Here is a 24,688-nt window from a genome sequence, read left to right on the forward strand (position 1 = left end):
AAGATCTCTATTGTCTCAGGTAAGTATATCTACTCCGCTCACTTTTGGTTTCCATTTCCATGAAATATATTTTTCCACTCTTTCACTTTCAGTCTATTTGTTTCCTTAAATTTAAGGTATCTTTCAGGCAGCATAAAGTTGTGTCTTGTCTTTTTTATCCATACAGCTATTCCATGTCTTTTCATTGGATAATTTAATCTATTTATATTCAAAGTAATTATTGATAGGTAAGGACTTACCACTGCCCTTATTTAATTTAGTTTTGGTTGTTTGGGTTATACTGTGTTTTGTTCTTTCTCTCTTGGTGTCTTTCTTTGTTATTTGATGATTTTCTGTAGTGATATTCTCTGAAGCTTTTCTTTTTTTTAATCAGTCAGATTTTCAATCTTTATTTTTATTTAATTAGAATTTTAGAGTAGATGTGTTCATGGTCTAAATTTTATATCACTAAACAACTGTATCAAATTGTCAGTGCTTTATTTTTATTCAATAGGTTTGGGGGAATAGGTGGTGTTTGGTTGCATGGAAAACTTCTTTAGAGATGATTTCTAAGATTTTCGTGCACCCATCACCTGAGGAGTGGACACTGTACCAATGGGTAGTCTTTTATCCTTCACCCCCTTACGACCCTTCACTTTGAGTTCCCAAAGTCCATTATATCATTCTTAGGTGTTATGCATCCTTATAACTTAGCTGCCATTTAAATGTGAGAAAATACGATGTTGGGTTTTTTTATTCCTTAGAATAAATGGTCTCCAATTCCATTTATTCACTTAGAATAATAATCTCCAATTCCATTATTCACTTAGAATAATGGTCTCCAATTCCATTATTCACTTAGAATAATGGTCTCCAATTCCATTATTCACTTAGAATAATGGTCTCCAATTCCATTATTCACTTAGAATAATGGTCTCCAATTCCATTATTCACTTAGAATAATGGTCTCCAATTCCATTATTCACTTAGAATAATGGTCTCCAATTCCATTATTCACTTAGAATAATGGTCTCCAATTCCATCCAGGTTGCTGCAAATGCCACCATTTTGTTCCTTTTTATGACTGAGTAGTATTCCACTATATGTGTATATACATATAGTGGAATACTACTCAGTATATATATAGTGTATATATATATATATATATATATATACACACACACATATATATATACATATATATATATATAATATATGTATATATACACCACATTTCCCTCCTTGGTTAGTGAGCACTTAGGCTGGTTCCATATTTTAGCAATTATGAATTATGCTGCTACAATCGTGCATGTGCAAGTGTTTTTTCATATAATGACTTCTTTTCCCCTGGGTAGATTTCCAGTAGGGGAATTGCTAGATGAAGTGGTAGTTCTACTCCTAGTTCTAAAAGGAATCTCCACACTGTTTTCCATAATGGTTGTACTAGTTTACATTCCCACCAGCAGTGTACTAGTGTTCTTTTCTCACCACATCTACAATAATATCAGTTATTTTTTGATTTTTTAATTCGAGGCATTCTGGCAAAAATAAGGTAGTATCTAATTGTGGTTTTGATTTGTATTTCCCTGATAGGTAGTGATGTTGAGCATTTTTTCATATGATTGTTGGCCATTTGTATATCTTCTTTTGAGAATTGTGTATTCATGTCCTTTGCCCTATTTTTGATGGGATTGCTTTTTCTTGTTGATTTGTTTGAGTTCCTTGTGGGTTCTAGACATTTGTCCTTTGTCAGATGCTTAGTTCTTGAATATTTTCTCCAATTCTGTGCATTGTTTGTTTACTCTGCTGATTATTTCTTTACCTGTGCAGAAGCTTTTTAGTTTAATTAGGTCCCATCTACTTATTTTTGTTTTTGTTGCATTTACTTTTGGCTTTTGGTCACAAAAACTTTGCCTAAGCCAATATTAGAAGAGTTTTGCGGATGTTATCTTTTAGAATTTTTATGGTTTCTCGTCTTAGATTTAAGTCTTTGATCCATCTTGAGTTGATTTTTGTGAAAGGTGAGAGATGAGGATCCAGCTTCATTCTCCTACACGTGGCTTGCCAATTATCCCAGTACCATTTGTTGAATGGGGTGTCCTTTCCCCAATTTATGTTTCTGTTTGCTTTGTCAAAGGTCAGTTGGCTATAAGTATTTGGCTTTATTTCTTGGTTCCCTATTCTTTTTCATTGGTCTACATGTCTATTTTTATACCAGTACCATGCTGTTTTGGTAACTATAGACTTAACAGTATAGTTTGAAGTCGGGTAATGTGATACCTCCAGATTATTTTAATGGAGCTTTTCTACTTATGGTTTATGCATCTAGCATAATATTTGTGATACGATACCATAAGAAATACGTAAATCATTTTGTACTTGTTTTTTCTTTAACCATTGTACTAGAGTAAAATTTGCTGTACATTCCACAATTATCACTGAAGTCTATCCTGAATATGGTTCTGTGGTGCTAATATGATTGAGTTTTTAATTTTTATATGTTTTATGTTATTAACTAGTAATCTCTTATTTCAGCTCAAATAACACACTTTTGTCATTTCTGTTAGGCAGGTGTAGTGGTCATAAACTCCCTTAGCTTTTTTTTTTCTAACTTTTATGTTAGTTTCTGGGGTACATATGCAAGTTTGCTACATAATTATACTGTATGTCACAGGGGTTTGTCTACAAATTATTTCATCACCCAGGTAGTAAACATAGTACTCAATAGTGCTGTATTTTGATTCCCACCCTTCTCCTACCCTCCACCCTACTGGAGGCCCAAGTGTCTGTTTTTCCCTTCTTTGTGTTCATATGTACTCAGTGTTTACCTTCCACTTATAAGGGAGAACATGTGGTATTTGGTTTTCTGTTTCTGTGTTAGTTTCCTTAGGATAGTAGCCTCCAGCTCTATTCCTGTTACTGCAAAGGACGTGCTCTCATTCTTTTTATGGTTGCATCTTATTCCATGGTGTTTAAGTACCACATTTTCTTTATCCAATCTACTATTGATGGGCATTCAGTTTGGCTCCACATCTTCACTACTGTGGGTAGCACTGCAATGAACATACCTGTGCATGTGTCTTTATAGTAGAACAATTTATATTCCTTTTGGTATATACCCAATAATGGGATTGTTATATCAAACAATAATTCTGTTTTAAGTTCTATGAGAAATGGCCAAACTGCTTTCCACAATGACTGAACTGGTCTATATTCCCACCAGCAATGCACAAGAATTCACTTTTGTCCACAACCTTGCCAGCATCTGTTATTTTTTGACTTTTTAATAGTAGCCATTATGGCTGGTTTGAGATGGTATCTCACTGTGGGTTTTATTTGCATTTCTCTAATGATTAGTGATGTTGAGCATTCTTTTCATATGCTTTTTGGCTGCATGAATGTCTTTTTTTGAGAAGTGTCTGTTCATATACTTTGCCCACTTTTTGACGAAGTTGTTTTTCTTTTTCTTTTTTCTTTTTCTTTTTTTTTTTTTTGCTTGTAAATTTAAATTTCTTATAGACCCTGGAAGTTAGACTTTGTTGGATGCATACTTTGCAAGTATTTCCTCCCATTCTGTAAATTGTCTGTTGCCTTTGTTGAGAGTTTTCTTTGCTTTACAGAATATATTTAGTGTAATGAGGTCCCATTTGTTAATTTTGTTTGAAATTGTTTTTGATGTTTTTGTCATGAAATGGTTGCCAGGCCCTATATCCAGAATGGTGTTTCCTTGGTTATCTTCCAGGGTTTTTTTTTTTATACATTTTCATTTTAGATTTAAGTCTTTAATCCATCTTGTTAATTTTTGTATATGATTAAGAAAGGAGGGCAGGTTCAGTCTTCTGCATATGGCCTAGTCAGTTATCCCAGCACAATTTATTAAATAGAAAGTCTTTCCCCATTGTTTGTTTTTGTAAATTTTGTGCAAGATCCAAATGCTTGTAGTTGTGTGGTCTTACTTCGAGGGTCTTTATTTTTTTTCCACTTGTCTATGTATCTGTTTATCTACCAGTACCATGCTGTTTTCATTACTCTAGCCTCGTAGTATAGTTTTAAGTTGAGTAATGAGATGCCTCCAGCTGTAGTCTTTCTGCTTAGTATTGCCTTGGCTATTCAAGCTTTTTTATGGTTTCATATGAACTTTAAAATGTTTTCTTCTAATTCTGTGAAAAATGTCTTTGGGGGTTTGATAGAAATATTGAATCTGTAAATTGCTTTGGGCAATACGGCCATTTTGACAATATGATTCTTTCTCTCCATGAACATGAGATGGTTTTCCATTTGTTTGTGCCACCTCTGATTTATTTGAGCAAAGTTTTGTAATTCTCACTGTAGACTTCTTTTATCTTTTGGTTAGCTATATTCCTATGGATTTTATTTTTCTTGTGGCTATTGTGAATACTATTGCATTCTTGATTTGGCTGTCAGCTTTGATGTTGTTGGCATATAGGAATGCTGCTGATTTTTGTACCTTGATTTTGTATCCCAAAAGTGTGCTGAATTTGTGTATCCAATCAATGAGCTTTTGGGCAAAGACTATGGGGTTTCTAGGTATAGAATAATATCATCGGCAAAGAGAGATATTTTGATTTCCTCTCTCCCTATTTGGATTCCTTTAATTTCTTTTTCTTTCCTGATTGCTCTGGCTAGGATTTCCAGTACAGTGTTGAATAGATGTGGTATGAGAGGTCATCTTTGTCTTGTTTCAGTTTCAAGAGGAATACTTCCAGCTTTTTCCCGTTCAGTATGAGGTTAGCTGTCAGTTTGTCAAAGATGGCTCTTATTATTTTGAAGTATGTTCACTCAATTTCTAGTTTGTTGAGGATTTTTAACATGCAGCAATGTCGAATTGTATAGAAAGCGTTTTCTGCATCTCTATTGAGATGATTGTGGGTTTTATTTTTGTTATATTTATGTGATTAACACATTAATTGATTTATGTATGTTGAACCAAACTTGTATCACAGGGAGAAAGCCTACTTGTTCAGAGTGAATTAGTTTTTTTTTTTTTTTTTTCTGAAGTGTCACACTGTTGCCCAGGCTGGAGTGCAGTGGTGCGATCTCCTGCCTCAGCCTCCCGATTAGCTGGGACTACAGGTGCCTGCCACCACGCCAAGCTAATTTTTTGTATTTTTAGTAGAAATGGGGTTTCACCATGTTAGCCAGGATGGTCTCGATCTCCTGACCTTGTGATCTGTCTGCCTCAGTCTTCCAAAGTGCTGGGATTACAGGCATGAGCCACAGTGCCCAGCCATGAATTAGCTTTTTGATGTGCTGCTGTATTCAGTTTGCTAGTATCTGGTTGAGTATATTTGTATCAAAGTTTATCAAAGAGATTGGCCTTTTTGTTTTTTGTTGTGTCTCTGAAAGGTTTCACTGTTAGGATGATGTTGGCCTCATAGAATGAGGTGGTTTCAGTGGAAATGGTACCACCTCTTCCTTATACATCTTGTAGTATTTAGCTGTGAATCTTTCTGGTCCTGGGCTTTGTCTGGTTGGTACATTCTTATTACTGATTCAGTCTTGGAACTTGTTATTGATCTGCTCAGGGTTTTAATGTCTTCCTGGTTCAATCTTGGGAGGTTGTATTTTTTTAAGGATTTAGCTAATCTTCTACATTGTGTAGCTCGTAGGCATAGAGGTGTTTGTAATAGTCTGTGTGGATTTTTTTGTATATCTGTGGGTTCAACAGTAAGGTCCCCTTTGTCATTTCCCATTATGTTTATTTGGATCTTCTCTCTTCTTTTTTCCTACTCTATCCAGCACTATATGTATCTCATCAACTCTTTCAAGAAACCAACTGGTGGATTCATTAATTGTTTAAATTTTGTTTTCAATCTGGGCAAGTTTTTCTTTCTTCCTCACTTCTGAAGAACAGCTTTGCTAGGTAAAAGTATTCTTGTTAGGCAGTTTTTTCTCTTTTGATACTTTGAAGACACAATCCCACTATCTGCTGGCCTACAGGGATTTTGCTGAGAAATTGACTGATAATCATAAAGGAACTCCCCTACATGTAATCTCTTTCTTATCTTTTGCTGCTTTCAGCAATTTTTGTCTTTGATTTTTGATAGTTTGATTATAATGTATCTTAGTGCAGTCCTCTTTCAGTTAAATTTGGCTGACAATCTCTAAGATTTTTGTTCCTAGATGTTGGCACATTTGCCCAGATTTAGGACCTTTTCAGCCATTATTATTATTATTATATCAATAACTTTTGGAGTACAATTAGTTTTTGGTTACATAGATGGATTATATAGTGGCAAATTCTGCAATTTTATTGCACCCGTCACCTGAGTAGTGTACATGGTACCTATTAGGTAGTTTTTTTTTAAATCCTGGGTGCCTTTGTTACCCTCCTACTTCTGAGTCTCCAAAGTCCCTTATATTACTCTGTATGCCTTTGTGTACTCATAGCTCAGCTCCCGCTTGGAAGTGAGAACATACAGTTTCTGGTTTTCCACTTCTATGTTACTTCACTTAGAATAATGGGCCCCCAGCTTCGTCCAAATTTCTGCAAAAGACATTTATTTCATTACTTTTAATGGCTGAGTAGTGTTTCATGGTGAATGTGTACCACATTTTCTTTATTCACTTTTTAGTTGATGGACACTTAGATTAGTTCGACATCTTTGTAATTGTGAATGGTGCTGCCAGAAACATATATGTGCAAGTGTCTTTTTTATACAATGACTTCTTTTCCTTTGGGTACATATTCAGTAGTGAGATTGCTGCATTCAATGGCAGATCCACTTATAGCTCTTTAAGGAATATCCATACTGTTTTCCAAAGAGGTTTAGGAATTTACATTCTCACTAGCAGTGTATGTGTGTTCCTTTTCCCCACATACATGTCAACATCCATTGTTTTTTGTCTTTTTAATAATAGCTATTCTTTCGGGAGTACGGTAGTATCTCACTGTGGTTTTAATTCGCATTTCCCTTATGATTAATAATGTTGAGCATTTCTTCATATATTTGTTTGCCATTTGTATATTTTCTTTTAAGAAATGTCTATTCGTGTTCTCTGTCCACTTTTTAATGGGATTATTTGATTTTTTTCTTTGTCATTTGCTTGAGATCCTTATAGATTCTGGATATTAGTTTGTTGTCGAATGTGTAGTTTGCAAATATTTTCTCCTGCTCCGTAGGTTGTCCTTTTCTTCTGTTGCTTATTTATTTTGACTTGCAGATGCTTTTCTGTTTATTTGGGTCTCATTTGTTTATTTTTGTTTTTGTTGCATTTGCTTTTGGGGTCACAGTTATAAATTATTTGCCTAAGCCAATGTCTAGAAGAGTTTTTCCAAAGTTGTCTTCTAGAAATTTTAGGGTCTCAGGCTGTATCAGTTTGCTTTTATAATGCTATAAAGGACTACCTGAAACTGGGTAATTTATAAAGAAAAGATGTTTAATTGAGTCACAGTTTAGTATGGGTGGGGAAGCCTCAGGAAACTTACAATCATGGAAGAAGGTGAAGGGAAAGCAATGCACCTTCTTCACAAGGCAGCACAAAGGAGAAGTGCTGAGTGAAGAGGGAAGAGGCTCTAATAAAGCCGTCAGGTCTCATGAGAACTCAGTCAATATCACAGGACAGGGAAACCATCCCCATGATTAAATTACCTTTACCTGGTCTCTCCCTTGACACATGGGGTTTATGGGAATTATGGGGATTACAATTCAAGATGAGAATTGGATGGGGGCATAAAGCCTAGCCACATCACAGGCCCAATATTTAAGTCTTCAAACCATCTTGAGTTGATTTTTATATATGATGAGAGATAAGGATCCAGTTTCATTCTTCCACATGTGGCTTGCCAGTTTTCCCAGCACCATTTATTGAATATGATGTCCATTCCTTAATTTATGTTTTTCATGTTTTGTCAAAAATTAGTTGGCTGTACATATTTCATTTTATTTCTAGGCTTTTTATTATGTTCCATTAGTCTATGTGCCTGCTTTTATACCAGCTCCATGCCGTTTTGGTAACTATAGCCTTGTATTATAGTTTCAAGTTCAATAATGTGATGCTTCCAGATTTGTTCTTTTTGCTTAGAATTACTTTGGCTATTTGTGCTGTTTTTGGTTCCATTTGAATTTTAGAATTTTCTTTTTTAAATTCTGTGAAAAGTGACATTGATATTTTGATGGGGATTATATTGAATCCATAGATTGTTTTGGGAAGTATGGTCATTTTCACAATATTGAGTCTTCCAATTCATGAGCATGAGATGTGTTTCCATTTGTTTAGGTCATTTATGATTTATTTCAGCAGTATTTTATAGTTCTCCTTGTAGAGATCTGTCATCTCTTTGATTATCAGCTTGGTCATTTTTGGTGGGGCTAACAATGTGTGTACATTGATTTTGTAACTTGAGACTTTATTGAATTTGTTTATGAAATATAAGGGTCTTTGGAAGGCCTTATATTTATAAGACCTTCCTTATACAATATAAGGCCTTATATTTATAAGGCCTTCCTTATACAATAGAATAATTGTATATAAATATACAATTATTCTTCCTTATACATAAATCTTCCTTATACAATAATCTTCCTTATACAATAGAATATATTGTATATATATTATACAATATATATAATAAATACATATTGTATATTTAGATACAATATATTATATTGTATCTAACTATACAATCATATCATCTGCAAACAGTGATAATTTAACTTCCTTTTTTTCAATTTAGATGCTTTTGTTTTTCTTATTATCTAATTGCTCTGTGTAGTACTTCCATAATTATGTTGATTAGGAGTGGTAATAATGGCCATTCTTGTCTTGTTCCTGTTCTTAGGGGAAATGCTTTAACCTTTCCCCCATTCAGTATGACGCTGGCTTTGGGTTTGTCACATATGGCTTTTATTATTTTGAGGTAGGTTCCTTCTATGTTGTTGAGAGTTTTCATCATAAAGGGGGCTAGATTTTGTTGAATGCTCTCTCTGCCTCTATTGAGATGATCATATAGTTTGTCCTTTTAATTCTTTCAAATGATGTACCACATTTATGGAATTGCATATGTTAAACCATCCTTGTATCCATGGAGTGAACCTACTTGATCATGATGAATTATCTTTTTGATGTGCTGCTAGATTCAATTAGCTAATATTTTGTTGCTGATTTTTGCATTTAAGTTCATCAGGGAAGTTTGTGTGTTGTTTTCTTCTTTTTATTGTACTATTTCCTGATTCTGGTATCAGGGTGATAGTAGCTTCATAGAATGATTTAGAGAGGATTCCCCTTTTCTCAATCTCTTGGAAGAGTTTCAGTAGAATTGGTACCAATTCTTTTTTTTTTTTTTTAATATCTGGTAGAATTCAGCTGTGAATCCATCTGGCCATTTTTTGTTGGCAATTTTTAAATTACTGATTCAATCTTGCTGCTTGTTATTGGTCGTTCAATGTTTCTATTTCTTACTGATTTAATCTAGGAGGGCTGTGTGTTTCCTAGAATTTGTCCATTTTCTCTAGGTTTTCTAGTTTGTGCACAGAGATCTTCATAGTAGTCTCAAATGATCTTTTGTATTTCTATGATGTCAGTTGTAATGTTTCTAGTTTCATTTCCAATTGAGCTTATTTTTCTCTTCTCTTTTTTTTCTTGATTAATCTGGATAATGGTCTATCAATTTTATCTATTTTTTCAAAGAACCACCTCTTTGTTTCCTTTACTTTGTTTATATATTTTTTTGTTTGAATATTATGTAGTCCTGCTCTAATCTTTGTTGTTTTCTTTCTTCTTTTAGCTTTAGGTTTAGTTTGTTCTGGTTTCTCCAGTTTGTTGAAGTGGGACATTAAGTTATCAATTTGTACTCTTTCAGACTTTTAAATGTGGACATTTAGCCCTATGAAATTTCCTTTTAGCACTGCTTTTGCTGTATCTCAGAGGGTTTGGTAACTTTTCTCATTATTATTTAATTCAAATAACTTTCTATTTTCATCATGATTTAATGTTAAGCCAGTTATTCAAGAGCAGATTATTTAATTTCTATATATTTGTATAATTTTGAGGTTTCCTTTTTGAGTTGTCTTTTAGCTTTATTCCACTATGGTCTGAGAAGATACTTGATATAATTTTGGTTTTTAAAAATGCATTGAGACTTGTTTTGTGGCCTGTCATGTGGTCTATCTTGGAGGCTGTGCTGTGTGCTGATGAGAAAAAATTATATTCTGCAGTTCTTGGGGAGAATGTTTTGTAAAGATTCACTAAGTCCATTTGTTCCAGCATGTTATTTAAATCCATTTTCTTTCTGTTGACTTTCTGTCTTGATTATCTGTCTAATGCTGTCAGTGCTGTATTGAAGTCTCCCACTATTACTGTTGCACTGTTTATCTCATTTCTTAGGTCTAGTAGTAACTTTTTTATGAATCTAGGAGCTCCAAGATTTTATGCATATATATTAGGACTGTAATATATTCTTGCTGAATTTATCTTTTTAATATTATATAATGACAATTTTTTTTTTTTACTATTGTTGCTTTAAAGTCTATTTTGTCTGATATAAGATTTTCCACTCCTGGTCACTTTTGATTTCTATGTGTGTGGAATAGCTTTCCCAATCCTTTTATCTTGAGTTTGTATGAATCATTCTGTGTTAGGTGGGTCTCTTGAAGACAGCAGATATTTATATTGTAATTTTTATCCGTTCCGCCATTCTGTATTTTTTAAATGGAGCATTTAGTCCATTTACATTACATATTAAGATGTGAGTTACTGTTTTCTTTATCACGTTGTTACTGCAATAGTTTTTTATTGTGTTACTGTTTCACAGCTCTGTGAATTTTAATATTTCAAGAGGTTCTATTTTGACACATATTGGGCTTTTGTTTCAAGGTTTAGAAGGTTTTTTTTTTTTTTTTTTTTTTTTTTTTTTTTTTTTTTTTTTTTAGCATTTCTTGTAGTGCTGGATTGGTAGTGACAAATTCCCTCCACATTTATTTGTCTGAAAATGACTTTATTTCTCCATCATTTATAAAAATTTGTTTTGCAGGATATAACAGCTGACAGCTGTTCTGTTTAAGGAAGTTGAAGATAGGACCCCACTCTTCTACCTTGTAAGGTTTCTGCTGAGAAGTCTGCCGTTAGTCCGATAGATTTTCCATTGTAGCTTACCTTCTGCTTTTGTCTTACTGCTCTTAGAATTATTTCCTTCATGTTCACTTTAGATAGCCTGGTGACTGCATGTCTTGGTGAAATTCTTTTTGCAGTGAATTTCCAAGGAGTTCTTTGAGCTTCTTGAATTTAGATATACAAATCTCTAGCCAGGCCAGAAAGCTTTTCTCAATTCCCTCAAATAGGTTTTCTAGACTTATTATTTTCTCTTCTCTCTCAGGAACATCAATACTCTTAGTTTTGGTCATTTGACATAATCTCACATTTCTTGGAGACTGTTCATTTCTTTTGATTTTTTTCTTTATTTTTGTCTAATTGAGTTAATTAAAAAGCCTTGTCTTTGAGCTCTGAAATTACTTCTCCTGAATTTTTTTCTTCTGCTTCACCTGTAGCTCCTGCACTTGCTGCCCACTTTATACTCTCCTCTGTTCCTGGCCAAAGGAGTTTGTCTCTACTCAATGTTATATTGTAAAACCCCAATGGAAGCTTCTTTCAATCTGAAACCACCAACTGAACTCTTTGGTTGTCTTCTGCAGGGTCCCCTGTGAGGAAAAGTAAGGAATAGCTGCCCTTGTTCCACAGTGGGATCTGGAGGTGCACACAAGTTTCTTACCCACTGATGCTCCTACTTTTATATTCCACAATCCTCCTCAAGTTGGTTCCTGCACTGGGTGGCAGTAAGGCCTTTCCTCATGTCCTGGATTTTCAGGGTCTCCAGTGGGGGCATGTATCCCAAAGGCAAACTTTCGCCCCTCACACTCTGGGGACTCACAACCCTTTGCCTGACTCACAGTGTAGGCTGCAGCCTCCTGCTTCCTTCAAAGGAGCAGTATGCCAGCAATGCCTCTAATCTACCATCTTGGAAAAAAACCACATTATTTCTTTAAGTGTATTTTATGGCTTTTTAAATCTCTATTCTCCTGCAGGAACTCCACTTTTGCAAATTGTGTGTCTTGATAATGTCCCATACTCTTGTAGGCTTTCTTCATTTTCTTTACATTTTTTTCTTTTTACTCCTCTGTCTGAATAATTGTAAATATTCTTTTTTCTTGTTCACTGATTTTTTCCTTTTGTTTTATTCAGCCTGCTGTTGAAGGTTTTTACTGATTTTTTTTTTTCAGTGCAGTCATTGTGCTCTTTATCACTATGATTTCTACTTGGTTTCTAAAATGTTTTCTATTTTTGTCAAAGTTTTTACTGTTGATGTATTTTTTCCCGAAATTTATTAAATTTTCTACCCATGTATTTTTTGTAATTCACTAAACTATTTTTGGAGAAATTATTTGTCAGCCTTTTACTAGATTGCTATTTTTTAGGATTTATTGTTGAAGCTTCATTAGTTTTTATAGAGATGTCATGATTCCCCAATTCTTCATAATTCTTATGTTGTTTAATTTGTGCGTGTGCATTTGAGAAGTGACACTCCTATTCCATCCTTTATAGGTGTTTTTGTAAGGAATAGACCTCCTCTATTAAGTCCAGTTGTTGATTCTAAGTGAGCCAGCAAGTAATGACACCTGGTAGGCAGAGTTTTCTGTTAGGTTCTCTAGCTGGCTAAGCTGCTAGTTTGCTCAGGTTGGATGGGGCTGCTAGCTGGGCTCTGCTGTCTAGTGAGAGCTCTGGCTAGGCTCTTCAATCAGGAAGAGCTGTGGGCTTGATACAATGATTACTTCTCATCAGGCTGAGACATAAAATGCATTCCCTGGCCCAATGGCACCAGCTCTGCAAATTGGTAGAGCTGTAGGTTGTTTTCCAAGGTTAGATGGAATCACTGCTCAAGATAGTGGGGACCAGTTGCTATGATTAATAAAAATTGTACAGTTGAGATTTGTCTCCTTGTCTGAGTGGAGACTTGGGATGACCTTTAAGACTGAGATGAGCCACTGTTTGAGTGACCAGGTGGCAAAGGTGGTCCTGTGGTTGGCTGAAAGGCACTGCTTTGGGCATATCCTTTACCGGGAAGGGCCTTGAGGTGGGCTTTGAGGCTCATCAAAGCCAGTGTTTAAACACCTAACTGGTATAAATCTAGTCCCTCTGCTTTGCTGAATGGTGTTGTCATAAACATCTACCTTCTTGTGTGGGATCTCATCTGGGGTGGGCTTTGCCATTGAACAAAGTCCTTGTTTGAGTTCCCAGGTGGTACAACTCTATCCCATGCACTTTGCTAAAATAGTTTATGGCAGGCATCTTTCTCCCTCGGCAGGGCCTTGGGGTGGGGTTTGAAGTTGGGCATGAAAGGTGTCTGTTTTGGGACTCAGCCAGATTGAATTTTCCACCATGCCTCTGAAAGCAATATGCTCAGCTTTGCAGGTAGACCGTGCAGTTGGTACCTCTAATTGGTCATCTCTGTTGGCAGTAACATGGAGCTACCACCAAAGATCCACATACTAGTTGCTGTGAGAAATTCCTCCTTTCTTTGTTCCTGTTTGACTTCAACTGGTCTAACTGTGAAATTACCTTTTTATTCCCAGTGAGATGAGACTGAGAGGCATTTTAGAATGCTAGGGAACCTGGATGTTCATCTCCAAATCTGTTTTCTCACTGTAGAAACATCATCCCAAGAGAATCCTCTCTTTGTGACACTTGGTCAACTTGGAGGCAAGAAAGGGAAAATGGGGCATATATGAGACTACTCCTCTTATACTTCCAAAGGAGTTTTGTTGGATTTACTGGTCCCCTTTGGTGTCTCAGGCTTATTTCCAAGTTTTTGGGTTTTTCGGGTGTTTTTGTATGTGGATAGTTGTTAGTCGAGCTTTCCCTGAGGGAAGGGTGAAGAAAAGCCTAGGACCTCATATTTTACAATATTGCTAATGTCACCTCTGTCACTATTATTAATTATAATCATCATACTGTACATAGGTCTCCAGAATTTACTCATCTTATGAATGAAAGTTCATACCCTTTAGCGAACATCTCCCCATTTTTCCTATTTCCTGGCCCTGGCCCTGTGGCAATCACCATTCTATTCACTGCTTCTATGAGTGAGTGTGACTTTGTAAATTCCACATATAAGTGAGATTATAAAGTATTTTTGGTGTTTTGTCTGGATAATTTCACTGTGCATAATGTCCAGATTCATTAATGTTGTCACAAATCAGCCATTATTTTTTAAATACGTTTTCTGTCACTTTCTCTGTCTCATCACTTTCTGTTATTTTAACAAGGAAAAGGTTAGCTCTCTTGTTGGTGTCCCATAAATCTCACAGGCTTTTATCACTTTTAATTTTTTTCTTTATTCTCCTCTGATGATTTGTCTGTGAGTTTGCAGATTTTTTTTTCCTTTGATCAAGTCTGTTGTTGGCACTCTCTATTGCATTTATTATTTCACTCATATTTTGCAGCTGCAAAATTTCTTTCTTATGATTTCTGTTTCATTACTAAACTTCTAATTTTTTGTATATATTGTATTTTTTTCTGATTTTATTGAGTTGTCCATCCGTATTATCTCGTAGCTTGCTGAGCTTTTAAAAATCATTTTTATGAATTCTCCCTGAAGCAACATGTAGATACCCATTTCTTTGGGGTTAGTTACTGGAATATTTTGTGTCCCTTTGTTGATGTAAAGTTCCCTTGACTATTCATGTTTCTTGAAGTATTGTGTTACTGCCTTCACACTTAAAGAAGCAGTCTGGCTGGCTTGGAAAGAGAAACACCTTCACCAATCATGAAGAAAAGGTTAAGCAATTGGCTAGGAATTCTGAGTCTTCCTTAGATTATTCTCTACAGATGCACCTGCTTCATACCTCTTCATTCCATTTATGGGAGATTTATTAAGATTGTATACCTTTTCTCAATTCCACAGTGCCAGGCTGGGTGATAAGAGCCTTCTTTTTTTTTTTTTTCCTGGAGTAGTTTCCTAAAATGCTCAAGTTTGCATGCTTTCTCTTAATAACACAGAATTTAGCCAGCTGGATGCAAGTGCTCATGAGTCATCTGCAAGAGCTTACATTTAAAGTCTGAGGGAAAAGCAGGGTAGTGCATGTGGTGAGCCAGTCCTGGCAACGAAGGTAGTGAGGCACATCAAGTATTTGGAGAACCCATAGGCAAGTTGGGAGGCATCGGCAGGGAAAGCATTCCACATTGCTTGTGGGAAGCTAACTGATGGAATCTTGCTGTGGTTATTTTGGGCTTAAGTCTCTATTTTTGTTTTCAGCTTCTCCCAACCACTCAGCTCTGCTGATTACTTCAGTAATCTGGGTGAGGCAAGAAAGAAATGGGCCTCGTAAGTCGTAACCCATTGTTCGTGGTAGTCAGGCACTCACTACATTATTACTTTCCCTTGTAAAAAATAATAATAATAATTGGCCGGGCGCGGTGGCTCACGCCTGTAATCCCAGCACTTTGGGAGGCCGAGGCGGGCAGATCACGAGGTCAGGAGATCGAGACCATCCTGGCTAACACGGTGAAACCCCGTCTCTACTAAATATACAAAAAATTAGCCGGTGTGGTGGGCGCCTGTAGTCCCAGCTACTCGGAAGGCTGAGGAAGGAGAATGGCATGAGACTCCGTCTCAAAAAAAAAAAAAAAAAAAAAAAAAAAAATCACAGGTTGCAGAGGTCTCCCTTGGTAATGTGTTGTGCCTCCGAGGGGGAGGAATAGCATGGATACATTAAAACTGTCCTACTTACTTTTTAAATGACTGTATTCTCACTGTGCAGCCATAAAAAAGGATGAGTTCATGTCCTTTGTAGGGACATGGATGGAGCTAGAAACCATCATTCTCAGCAAACTATCGCAAGGACAGAAAACCAAACACCGCATGTTCTCACTCATAGGTGGAAATTGAACAATGAGAACACTTGGACACAGGAAGGGGAACATCACACACAGGGGCCTGTCTTGGGGTGGGGGGAGGGGGGAAGGATAGCATTAGGAGATATACCTAATGTAAATGACGAGTTAATGGGTGCAGTACACCAACATGGCACATGTATACATGTGTAACAAACCTGCACGTTGTGCACATGTACCCTAGAACTTAAAGTATAATAATAAAATAAAATAAAATAAAACAAATGAGTGTATTCTCAGATTTTTGCTCCAACAGTGTAGTAAAATATTTCTGCTGGACTCCTGTACTCACAAAGGTACTCTTCATCTGTAGGTAATTGTCAAAAAGAATAGCTGTGCAGGGGGATGATGGTAGAAATCTCCTATTCTGCCATCTTGCTGATATCTCCGCCTGACCACATTTATATAAATTCCTATGATATATAAACTAATTTGTAGTAATAGTAAACAGATTATTTAGCGGCCTGGGGCATAAAGGAGCAATTACGGGATGAATCACAAAGTGACAAAAGAAAACTTTTGAGTGATCAATATGTTCAGTATCTTGACTGAGATATTTTAACATCTATATGTGTTTATATATGCATATACAACATATATACACACACATGCATATATAAACATATATATTTATATGTGTATGTGTGTGTATATATATCTATGTTGGCACTCTCTATTGCATTTTTTATTTCACTCATTGTATTTTGTACCTGCAAAATTTCTCTTTTTTATGATTTTTATGATTTCTGTCATTACTAAAATTCTTGTTACATTGTACTTTGCACCTGCAAAATTTCTCCTTTTTATGATTTTTTAATGATTTCTGCCTTGTTATTAAAATTCTAATTCCGTGTGTATATATGCACATACATACATTTATATATGCGTGCGTGTACATTCTCTTCAAAATTCATCAAATTATACAACTTACATATATGCAGTTTATAGCATGACAATTAAACCTAAAAAATCATTAAAGATTCACATTACTATTTTAGACCTCTTCAGAATGGCCTTTAATGTCCATATTTCTACAAACATTTTGATTATGACCACTTAAGTCATCTCTAAAACATTTCAGAGTTGTTCTACAGTTATTCTCTTCTTCTGAGCTCTCATTATAATTTCTCATATTGTTCCAATCATGGCTTCTTATATCTTGCATTTCAAAAAACTTACTGATCTTTTCCAGTTGCCCAGTTCCAAAACTGCTTTTACATTTTCAAATAATTGTATAGCACATTCCACTCTTCAGTACCAATTTCTGTCTTAATCCATTTGTGCTCGTATTACAAAATACCTAAAAAAATCACAATTTATAATGAATAGAAATTTATTTTTCCCACATAACTGGAGGCTAGGAAGTCCAATATCAAGGTGTTGGCATCTTTTTCGGGCCTTCTTGCTGCATTATCACACAGTGGACATTGGAAGGACAAAAAGGCAAAAGGGGGCTGAACTCCTCCTCATGTTATTGTTAATCGCATCCATTAAGGTAGAGCCCTTATGGCCCTATCACCTCCCAAAATATAACCTCTTAACACCACCACAATTACAATTAAATTTCAACAAGAGTTTTGGAAAGGGCAAACATTTAAACCATAGGGGTCTACAAGTCCTCTCATGGCTTCATATGCTTTCCTATCTTCCCTTGATATCAAGATCTTCTCTTTCAAATATGCATTATTCACTCACTAGTACTTCAGATAACCTCACTTCAGTGACTTTCTAGCATGTTTATTGCATTGCCAGTTTCCAGTACTTGGCAATTTCAACCAAGTTGCATCTTATGACCTTGTTCGTGAACTGCAAAGCAATACAAAGAAAATTACGTAGTCATGAATATGGCCTCTACCACAAAATTTAAAGTACCCACTCTCAGCTGAGGGCTGAGTGTACTTTACAGGTACTTTGCTAAATATTTAACTCTCCACTTCATTCCCCACAATAGTTGTACTGCTCACCTTCTTTTCTCAATACTCTAATTCTACATCATTTCTTCTTCTCAGATGATATCACTGAGAAGATTAAGATGATCAGATGTGTATCACAACTTTTCATCTCTGACACACTGGTAGAATGTTTGCAAAGTTCTTTTGAATAATTATGTATTACACTTTTTCTTCTGTGTCTAAAGCAAAAATTGCTTTCTCTCTTGACGAAGTCAATTATTCTACCAGTAATTTATACATCTGGGCCGTTGCTAAATACAAATTCTGATTTAAAAGGTATGGTGTAGGCTCATGACCCTGTATTTCTAAGAAATCACTTGGTGAAGTGAAAGTGCTATTTGTCCACAGAGCAGTTTAAATAGGAAGGCTTTATAATATCTTGCTTTGTCAGTTAACCTCATTTTTTGAATACATCTTCAGTTTATTCCACTTCTTGAAGCTTCCTTGTGAACATTCTAAAATTGTCTCATTTCTCTTTTTCACTTGAAAAACTTTGTGACAGTGTAGTCTACAACATTTAATCCACTTATCTACCAGTCCAACCTTGAATTCCATGTTATCTGAGTGCTTTTCCCACCACGTATTTATATTTACTTTCAAAAATGACACCAACTGACTATGAAGAGCCAAATATAATCACTATTTCTAAATTCTTAGCCTAATTTCTTTCACAGATACATAGGCTGGAAAGCTAGCTACTGAGAAGTTACACAGGATGACACTGCTCTGGTAAAGTCAACATGATTCACATGAACCCAGACTTCAGTTTTGCCAATCCAGAATCTGGATTTACTAAGCAGCAGACCAGAAAAAGAAAAGAAAATAAAAGTGTGTCAATAACTGATATGTATAATAAGTTCCAGTATTTCCTTTTTAAATGCATGGTTATCCACTTCAGACTTAGAAATTTTTGAGAGGGTACCCTTATTTCCCATATTAAGGTAATTAGAAAGCCAAATTAGTAATCAGAAGGCTGCTTTATGAAAACAGAATTAAAGTAAAGAAGATGATGTCTGTCAATATTTTATTTGGATCACGATAATGTCAGGTGTAATGTCCCGGCTATGGCCCATAATACTTTGATGAATACAACACTAAGTATACCATATGTCATACTTGGGTAATACAGAAGACAACATGCAAATTTTTGATTCTCTAATCACTCTTTTCAATGCCATTTACTTCTTTTTTATTGATAAATTCTCACTCTAGATATTATTGGCCAAGTGGCAAGAGTTGAAGAAGGCAGTGAATCATATAAGCTATCCAAGGGATAGTGTAATCTCCAGCAAGAAATGTCAAGGAATCAACAGTCCTTTCCTAAGCCATGTTATTTTTCTCTCCACACATACACATACACCAAAGGTAATTCTATAATATTTTTATGCTTTTGATTACTGCTTACATACTAAATATCCCAAATTTATATTTCAATCTCAAATATTTTTCCTCATATTTATGCCCATTTTTCCAACTGCTTTCTTCACATCTTTACTAACCTCTCGTATACATTAAAATCTTAATAGGTCAAAAATGAAATTTATCACCTCCTTCATCTCTCTTATTCCAAAAAATAAACAAAAACTTAAATGATGATTGATACAAGGTGTGGGAAAGGGAAGACTCAATAATCTTAATAATGATCCTTGGGTTTCTTTATATGTTTTTGAGACAGAGTCTCACTCTGTTGCCCAGGCTGGAGTGCAGTGGCATGATCTCGGTCCACTGCAACCTCCACCTCCCAGGTTCAAGTGATTCTCTGGCCTCAGCCTCCCAAGTAGCTGATATTACAGGTGTGCACCACCACGCCCATCTAATTTTTGTTATTTTCAGTATATATGGGGTTTCACCATGTTGGCCAGGCTGGCCTCGAACTCCTGACCTCAGGTGATCCACCCGCCTCAGCCTCCCAAATTTCTGGAATTACAGGAGTGAGATGCCACACCTGGCCAGGTTTTTTTTTTTTTTTTATTGTGAAACATTGTACATGTTTATAGGGTAAAATTTGATGTTTAAATGCATATATATATTGTATAAGGATCAAATCAAGACAGTTAGCATATCCATCATTTCATGCATTTATCATTTGTGTTGAGAACATTTAAAAAAAACTTTTCTTCTAGCCATTTATTTATTTATGTTTATTTTAAGTTCTGGGGTACATGTGCAGAATGTGCAGTTTTTTCACATAGGTAAACATGTGCCATGGTGGTTCACTACACGTATAAACCCATCACTGAGGTATTAAGTCCAGCATGCATTAGCTGCTTTTGCTGATGCTCTCCCTTCCCTTACCCCTCTGAAAGGACCCAGTACGTGTTGTTCCCCTCCCTGTGTCCATGTATTCTCTTTCTTCAGCTTCCCCTTATAAGTGAGAACATGCAGTGGCTTGGTTTTCTGTTCCTGCGTTAGCCATTTTTAATATACAATGCCTTACTATTAACCACAGTCACTTTGCTGTGAAACATAACTTATTCCTCTTATATAATTGTAATTATAATTAAAATTCCTCTTATAATCCCTCTTGTATCATTCCTCTTATATAATTTCCTGTGCATATAACTTATTCTTCTCCTATAATTGTAACTTTGTACCCTTCGTTCAACCTTTCCCAATGCTTCCCTTCTTTATCTTTTTCTCAGTCTCTGGTAACCACTATTCTACTATTTCCATGATGTCAACTTTTTCTCTAGATTTAACATATTGGTGAGATTATGTGGTATTTTTCTTTCTGTGTATGTTTTATTTCAGGTAATATTATGTTCTCCAGTTGCATCCAGGTTGCCACAAATAACAGAATTTTATTCCTGTTTATGGTGGAGTAATATTTCATTGTATATACATACCACATTATCTTTACCCATTCATCCATTTTTTGACACTTAGCTGGATTCCATATTTTGGCAGTTGTTAATAGTGCTGCAATAAACATTGGGTTGCAGATATCTCTTCTACATACTAATTTAATATTTTTTGGATATAAACTCAATAATAACATTGTATCTTATGTATAATTAGATGTTATGGTAATTCTACTTTCAATTATTAGGAAACCTCCATACAATTCTTCATAATAGCTGTACTAATTTACAGTCCCACGAACAGTGTGTAGGTGTTCTCTTCTGTCCACATTCTTCCCAGCACATTTTTTTTTTTTTTTTGTCTTTTAGATAATAGCCATTATAAATGGAGTGGGGTAGTAGCTTGATTTGCATTTCCCTGATAATTAGTGGTATTGAACATTTACTTATATAACTGTTAGCCATTTGTATGTCTTTTTTTCAGAAACTGTAATTTATTTTATTGGTATTACAAAAGTTACCAATGTCTTGGAATTTTATTCTGTTTCTTTTTTAAAAAATTAAAAATGTTCTATTGATACATAATAATTGTAGATATTTATGGGATACATGTGATTTTTTTTCCTTGGATAGGCAATAGATTATCATTTTATTATCTGATACAAATAAATAATAGGAAGTAGGGTGTGGGGAATGGAGTGAATTGACTTCATTGCTTTCTTGAAATCTGATTTTAGGACTTTTATAATAACCAAAAATAATGCTGTTAATACGTGGTACACTCAGACTGGTAAGCTCTTCTGTCAGATGTATGAGCAAGTCTGTGTGTTCAGATCTAATTAGATACTATTTGATACTTTTAACACTATGCAGAGGTTCTAAAAATAAAAATAACATAGAAATCCTACGTTAATCATCAGATCATTTTTTAAATATTTAATTTAATTTAATTTTAAGTTCCAGGATACATGTGCAAGACCTGCAGGTTGTTACATAGTAAACATGTGCCATGGTGGTTTGCTGCACTTTTCAACCCATCACCTAGGTATTAAGGCCAGCATGCATTAGCTATTATTTTTTCTGATGCTCTACTTCTCCCGACCCCCAGAGAAGCCCCAGTGTGTGTTGTTCCCCTCACTGTGTGCATGTGTTCTCGTTGTTCAGCTCCCACATATAAGTGAGAACATGCAGTGTTTGGTTTTCCCGTGTTAGTTTGCTGAAGTTAATGGCTTCCAGCTCCATCCATGTCCCTGCAAATGACGTGATCTTATTTCTTTTTATGGCTGCATAGTATTTGATGGCGTATATGTACCACATTTTCTTTATCCAGTCTATAATTGATGGACATTTGGGTTGATTCCACATCTCTACTACTGTGAATAGTGCTGCACTGAACATATGTGTGCATGTATCCCTATAATAGAATGGTTTATATTTTTTGGGTACATACCCACATATAAGATTGCTGGGTCAAATGGTATTTCTGGTTCTAGGTCTTTGAGGAATCATCACACTGTCTTCTACAATGGTTGAACTAATTTAATTACCCGACTTCAAACTATACTACAAGGCTAAAGTAACCAAAACATCAGAGTACTGGTACGAAAACAGACACATAGACCAATGGAAAAGAACAGAGATCTCAGAAATAAGACCATACATCTACAACCATCTGATCTTTGACAAACCTGACAAAAACAAGTAATGGGGAAATTATTCCCTATTTAATAAATGGTGCTGGGAGAACCGGCTAGCCATAGTTAGAAAATGGAAACTTGACCCCTTCCTTACGCCTTATACAAAAATTAACTAAAGATGGATTAAAGACTTAAATGTAAAACCCAAAACTATAAAAACCATAGAAGAAAATCTAGGCAATACCATTCACAACATAGGCATGGGCAAAGATTTTATCATGAAAACATCAAAAGCAATTGCAACAAAAGCAAAAATTGAAAAGTGGGACCTAATTAAACTAACCAGCTTCTGCACAGTGAAAGATACTATAATCAGAGTGAACAGAAAACCTACAAAATGAGGTAAACATTTTTGCAATCTATTTATCTGACAAAGGTCTAATATCCAGAATCTACAAGGAACTTAAACAACTTTACAAGAAAAAGAAAACCCATTAAAAAACAGGCAAAAGACATGAACAGACATTTCTCAAAAGATGACATTTATGTGGCCAGCAAACATATGAAAAAATGCTCAATATCACTGATTATTAGAGAAATGCAAATCAAAACCATAATTAAATACCATCTTACACCAGTTAGATGGCACTTAGTAAAAAGTCAAGAAACAGCAGTTGCTGGCAAGGCTGTGGCTAAATAGGAACACTTTTACACCGTTGATAGGAATGTACATATTTTGATACATTCAGAAATGTGTAATGATCACATCAGGGTATTTAAGATATTAGTCATCTCAATCATTTATTATTTCTTTGTGGAGTGAATATTTTAATTCTCTTGCAGTAATTTTGAAATATACAATAAATAATTATCATAATCAAACTACTGTCATATCAAACACAAAATGTATTTCTTCTATCTAACTGCATGTTTATACTTGTTAACCAATCTCTTTATTCTCACTCCCCTCCAAACCTTCTCATTCCGTTAATAATCATTATTATCTCTACTACCATAAAACCAAATTTCTAAGTTCCCACATATCAATGCAAACATGCAATATTTTTCTGTGTCTGATTTGCTTCACTTAACATAATGACCTCCAATTTACATCCATGTTGCTGTAGGGTTTCATACTTTTTAATGTCATAAATAGCATTCCATTGCATATACATATCATATTTTCATTATAGTTCATCCATCAACAGACAGCGTGATTCCAGATCTTGACTATTGAAAATAGTGTTGCACTAAAATAGGGATAAAGGTGTCATTTTGATATGCTGATTTCCTTTTCTTTGGATAAAAACCAGTAATGGGATTGCCAGTTCACATGGTAGTGGTAGTTCTATTTTTAGTTATTTTGTGAAACCTGCATACTGTTTTTCATAATGGCTTTACTAATTTAAATTCCTATCAACAGTGTATAAGAGTTCCCCTTTCTCCACATCTTGCCAACATTTGTTATTTTTAGTCTTTTTGATAACAGCCATTTTAATGAGAGATGATTCATCTTGGTTTTGATTTGCATTTCCCTGATAATAAATTATGTTGAGTATTTTTCAATATACCTGTTGGCCATTTGTATGTTTTCTTTTGAGAAATGTCTATTCAAATATTTTGCACACTTTTAATGGGAATTATTTTATTTATTACATAATTATTTATTTATTTATTTATTTATTTATTTGCTGTTGAGTTGTGTGAGTTCCTTGTATATTCTAGATATTGGTCCATTGTTAGAAGAGTAAGTTGTAAATATTTTCCCCCATTATGTAGTTTGTCTTTTACTCTGTTAATTGTTTTACTCTGTTCTAATTTCTTCTAAAACTAGAAGATTTTTAGTTTAATGTAATCACATTTGTCTATTTTTTGTTTGCCTGTGCTTTGGAAGACTCAGTCACAAAATCTTTGTCTAGACCAATGTCCTGAGGGTTTCCCCTATTTTCTTTCAGTAGTTTTAGAGGTTCAAGCCTTAGATTTAAGTTTTAATTCATTTTGTGTTGATTTCTGTATAGGATGAAAAAAAGGGTCTAGTTTACCTTTTCTGCATGTAAATGGGTAGTTTTCTCAGAACCACTAATTGAAAAGGATGTCCTATTTCCGATGTATATTTTTGGCAGTTTTGTCAAAAATCAGTTGGGCTGTAAATATGTGGATTTATTTCTGCGTATTTTATTCTGTTATATTGGTCTATGTGTCTGTATTTATATCAATGCCATGCTGTTTTGATTACTATACTTTGTATATAGCTATAGCATACATACTACAATAGCTTTGTAATATATTTTGAAGTCAGGTAATCTGATGTTCAGGTTTATTTTTGTTTTTTCCCTAGATTTCATTTGCTATTTGGGGTTTTTGGTGGTTTCACATAAATCTTAGGATTCTTTTCCTATTACTGTAAGTAATT

The sequence above is a fragment of the Homo sapiens genome, chromosome X, assembly GCF_000001405.40.
Source record: "Homo sapiens chromosome X, GRCh38.p14 Primary Assembly".
NCBI lineage: Eukaryota > Metazoa > Chordata > Mammalia > Primates > Hominidae > Homo > Homo sapiens.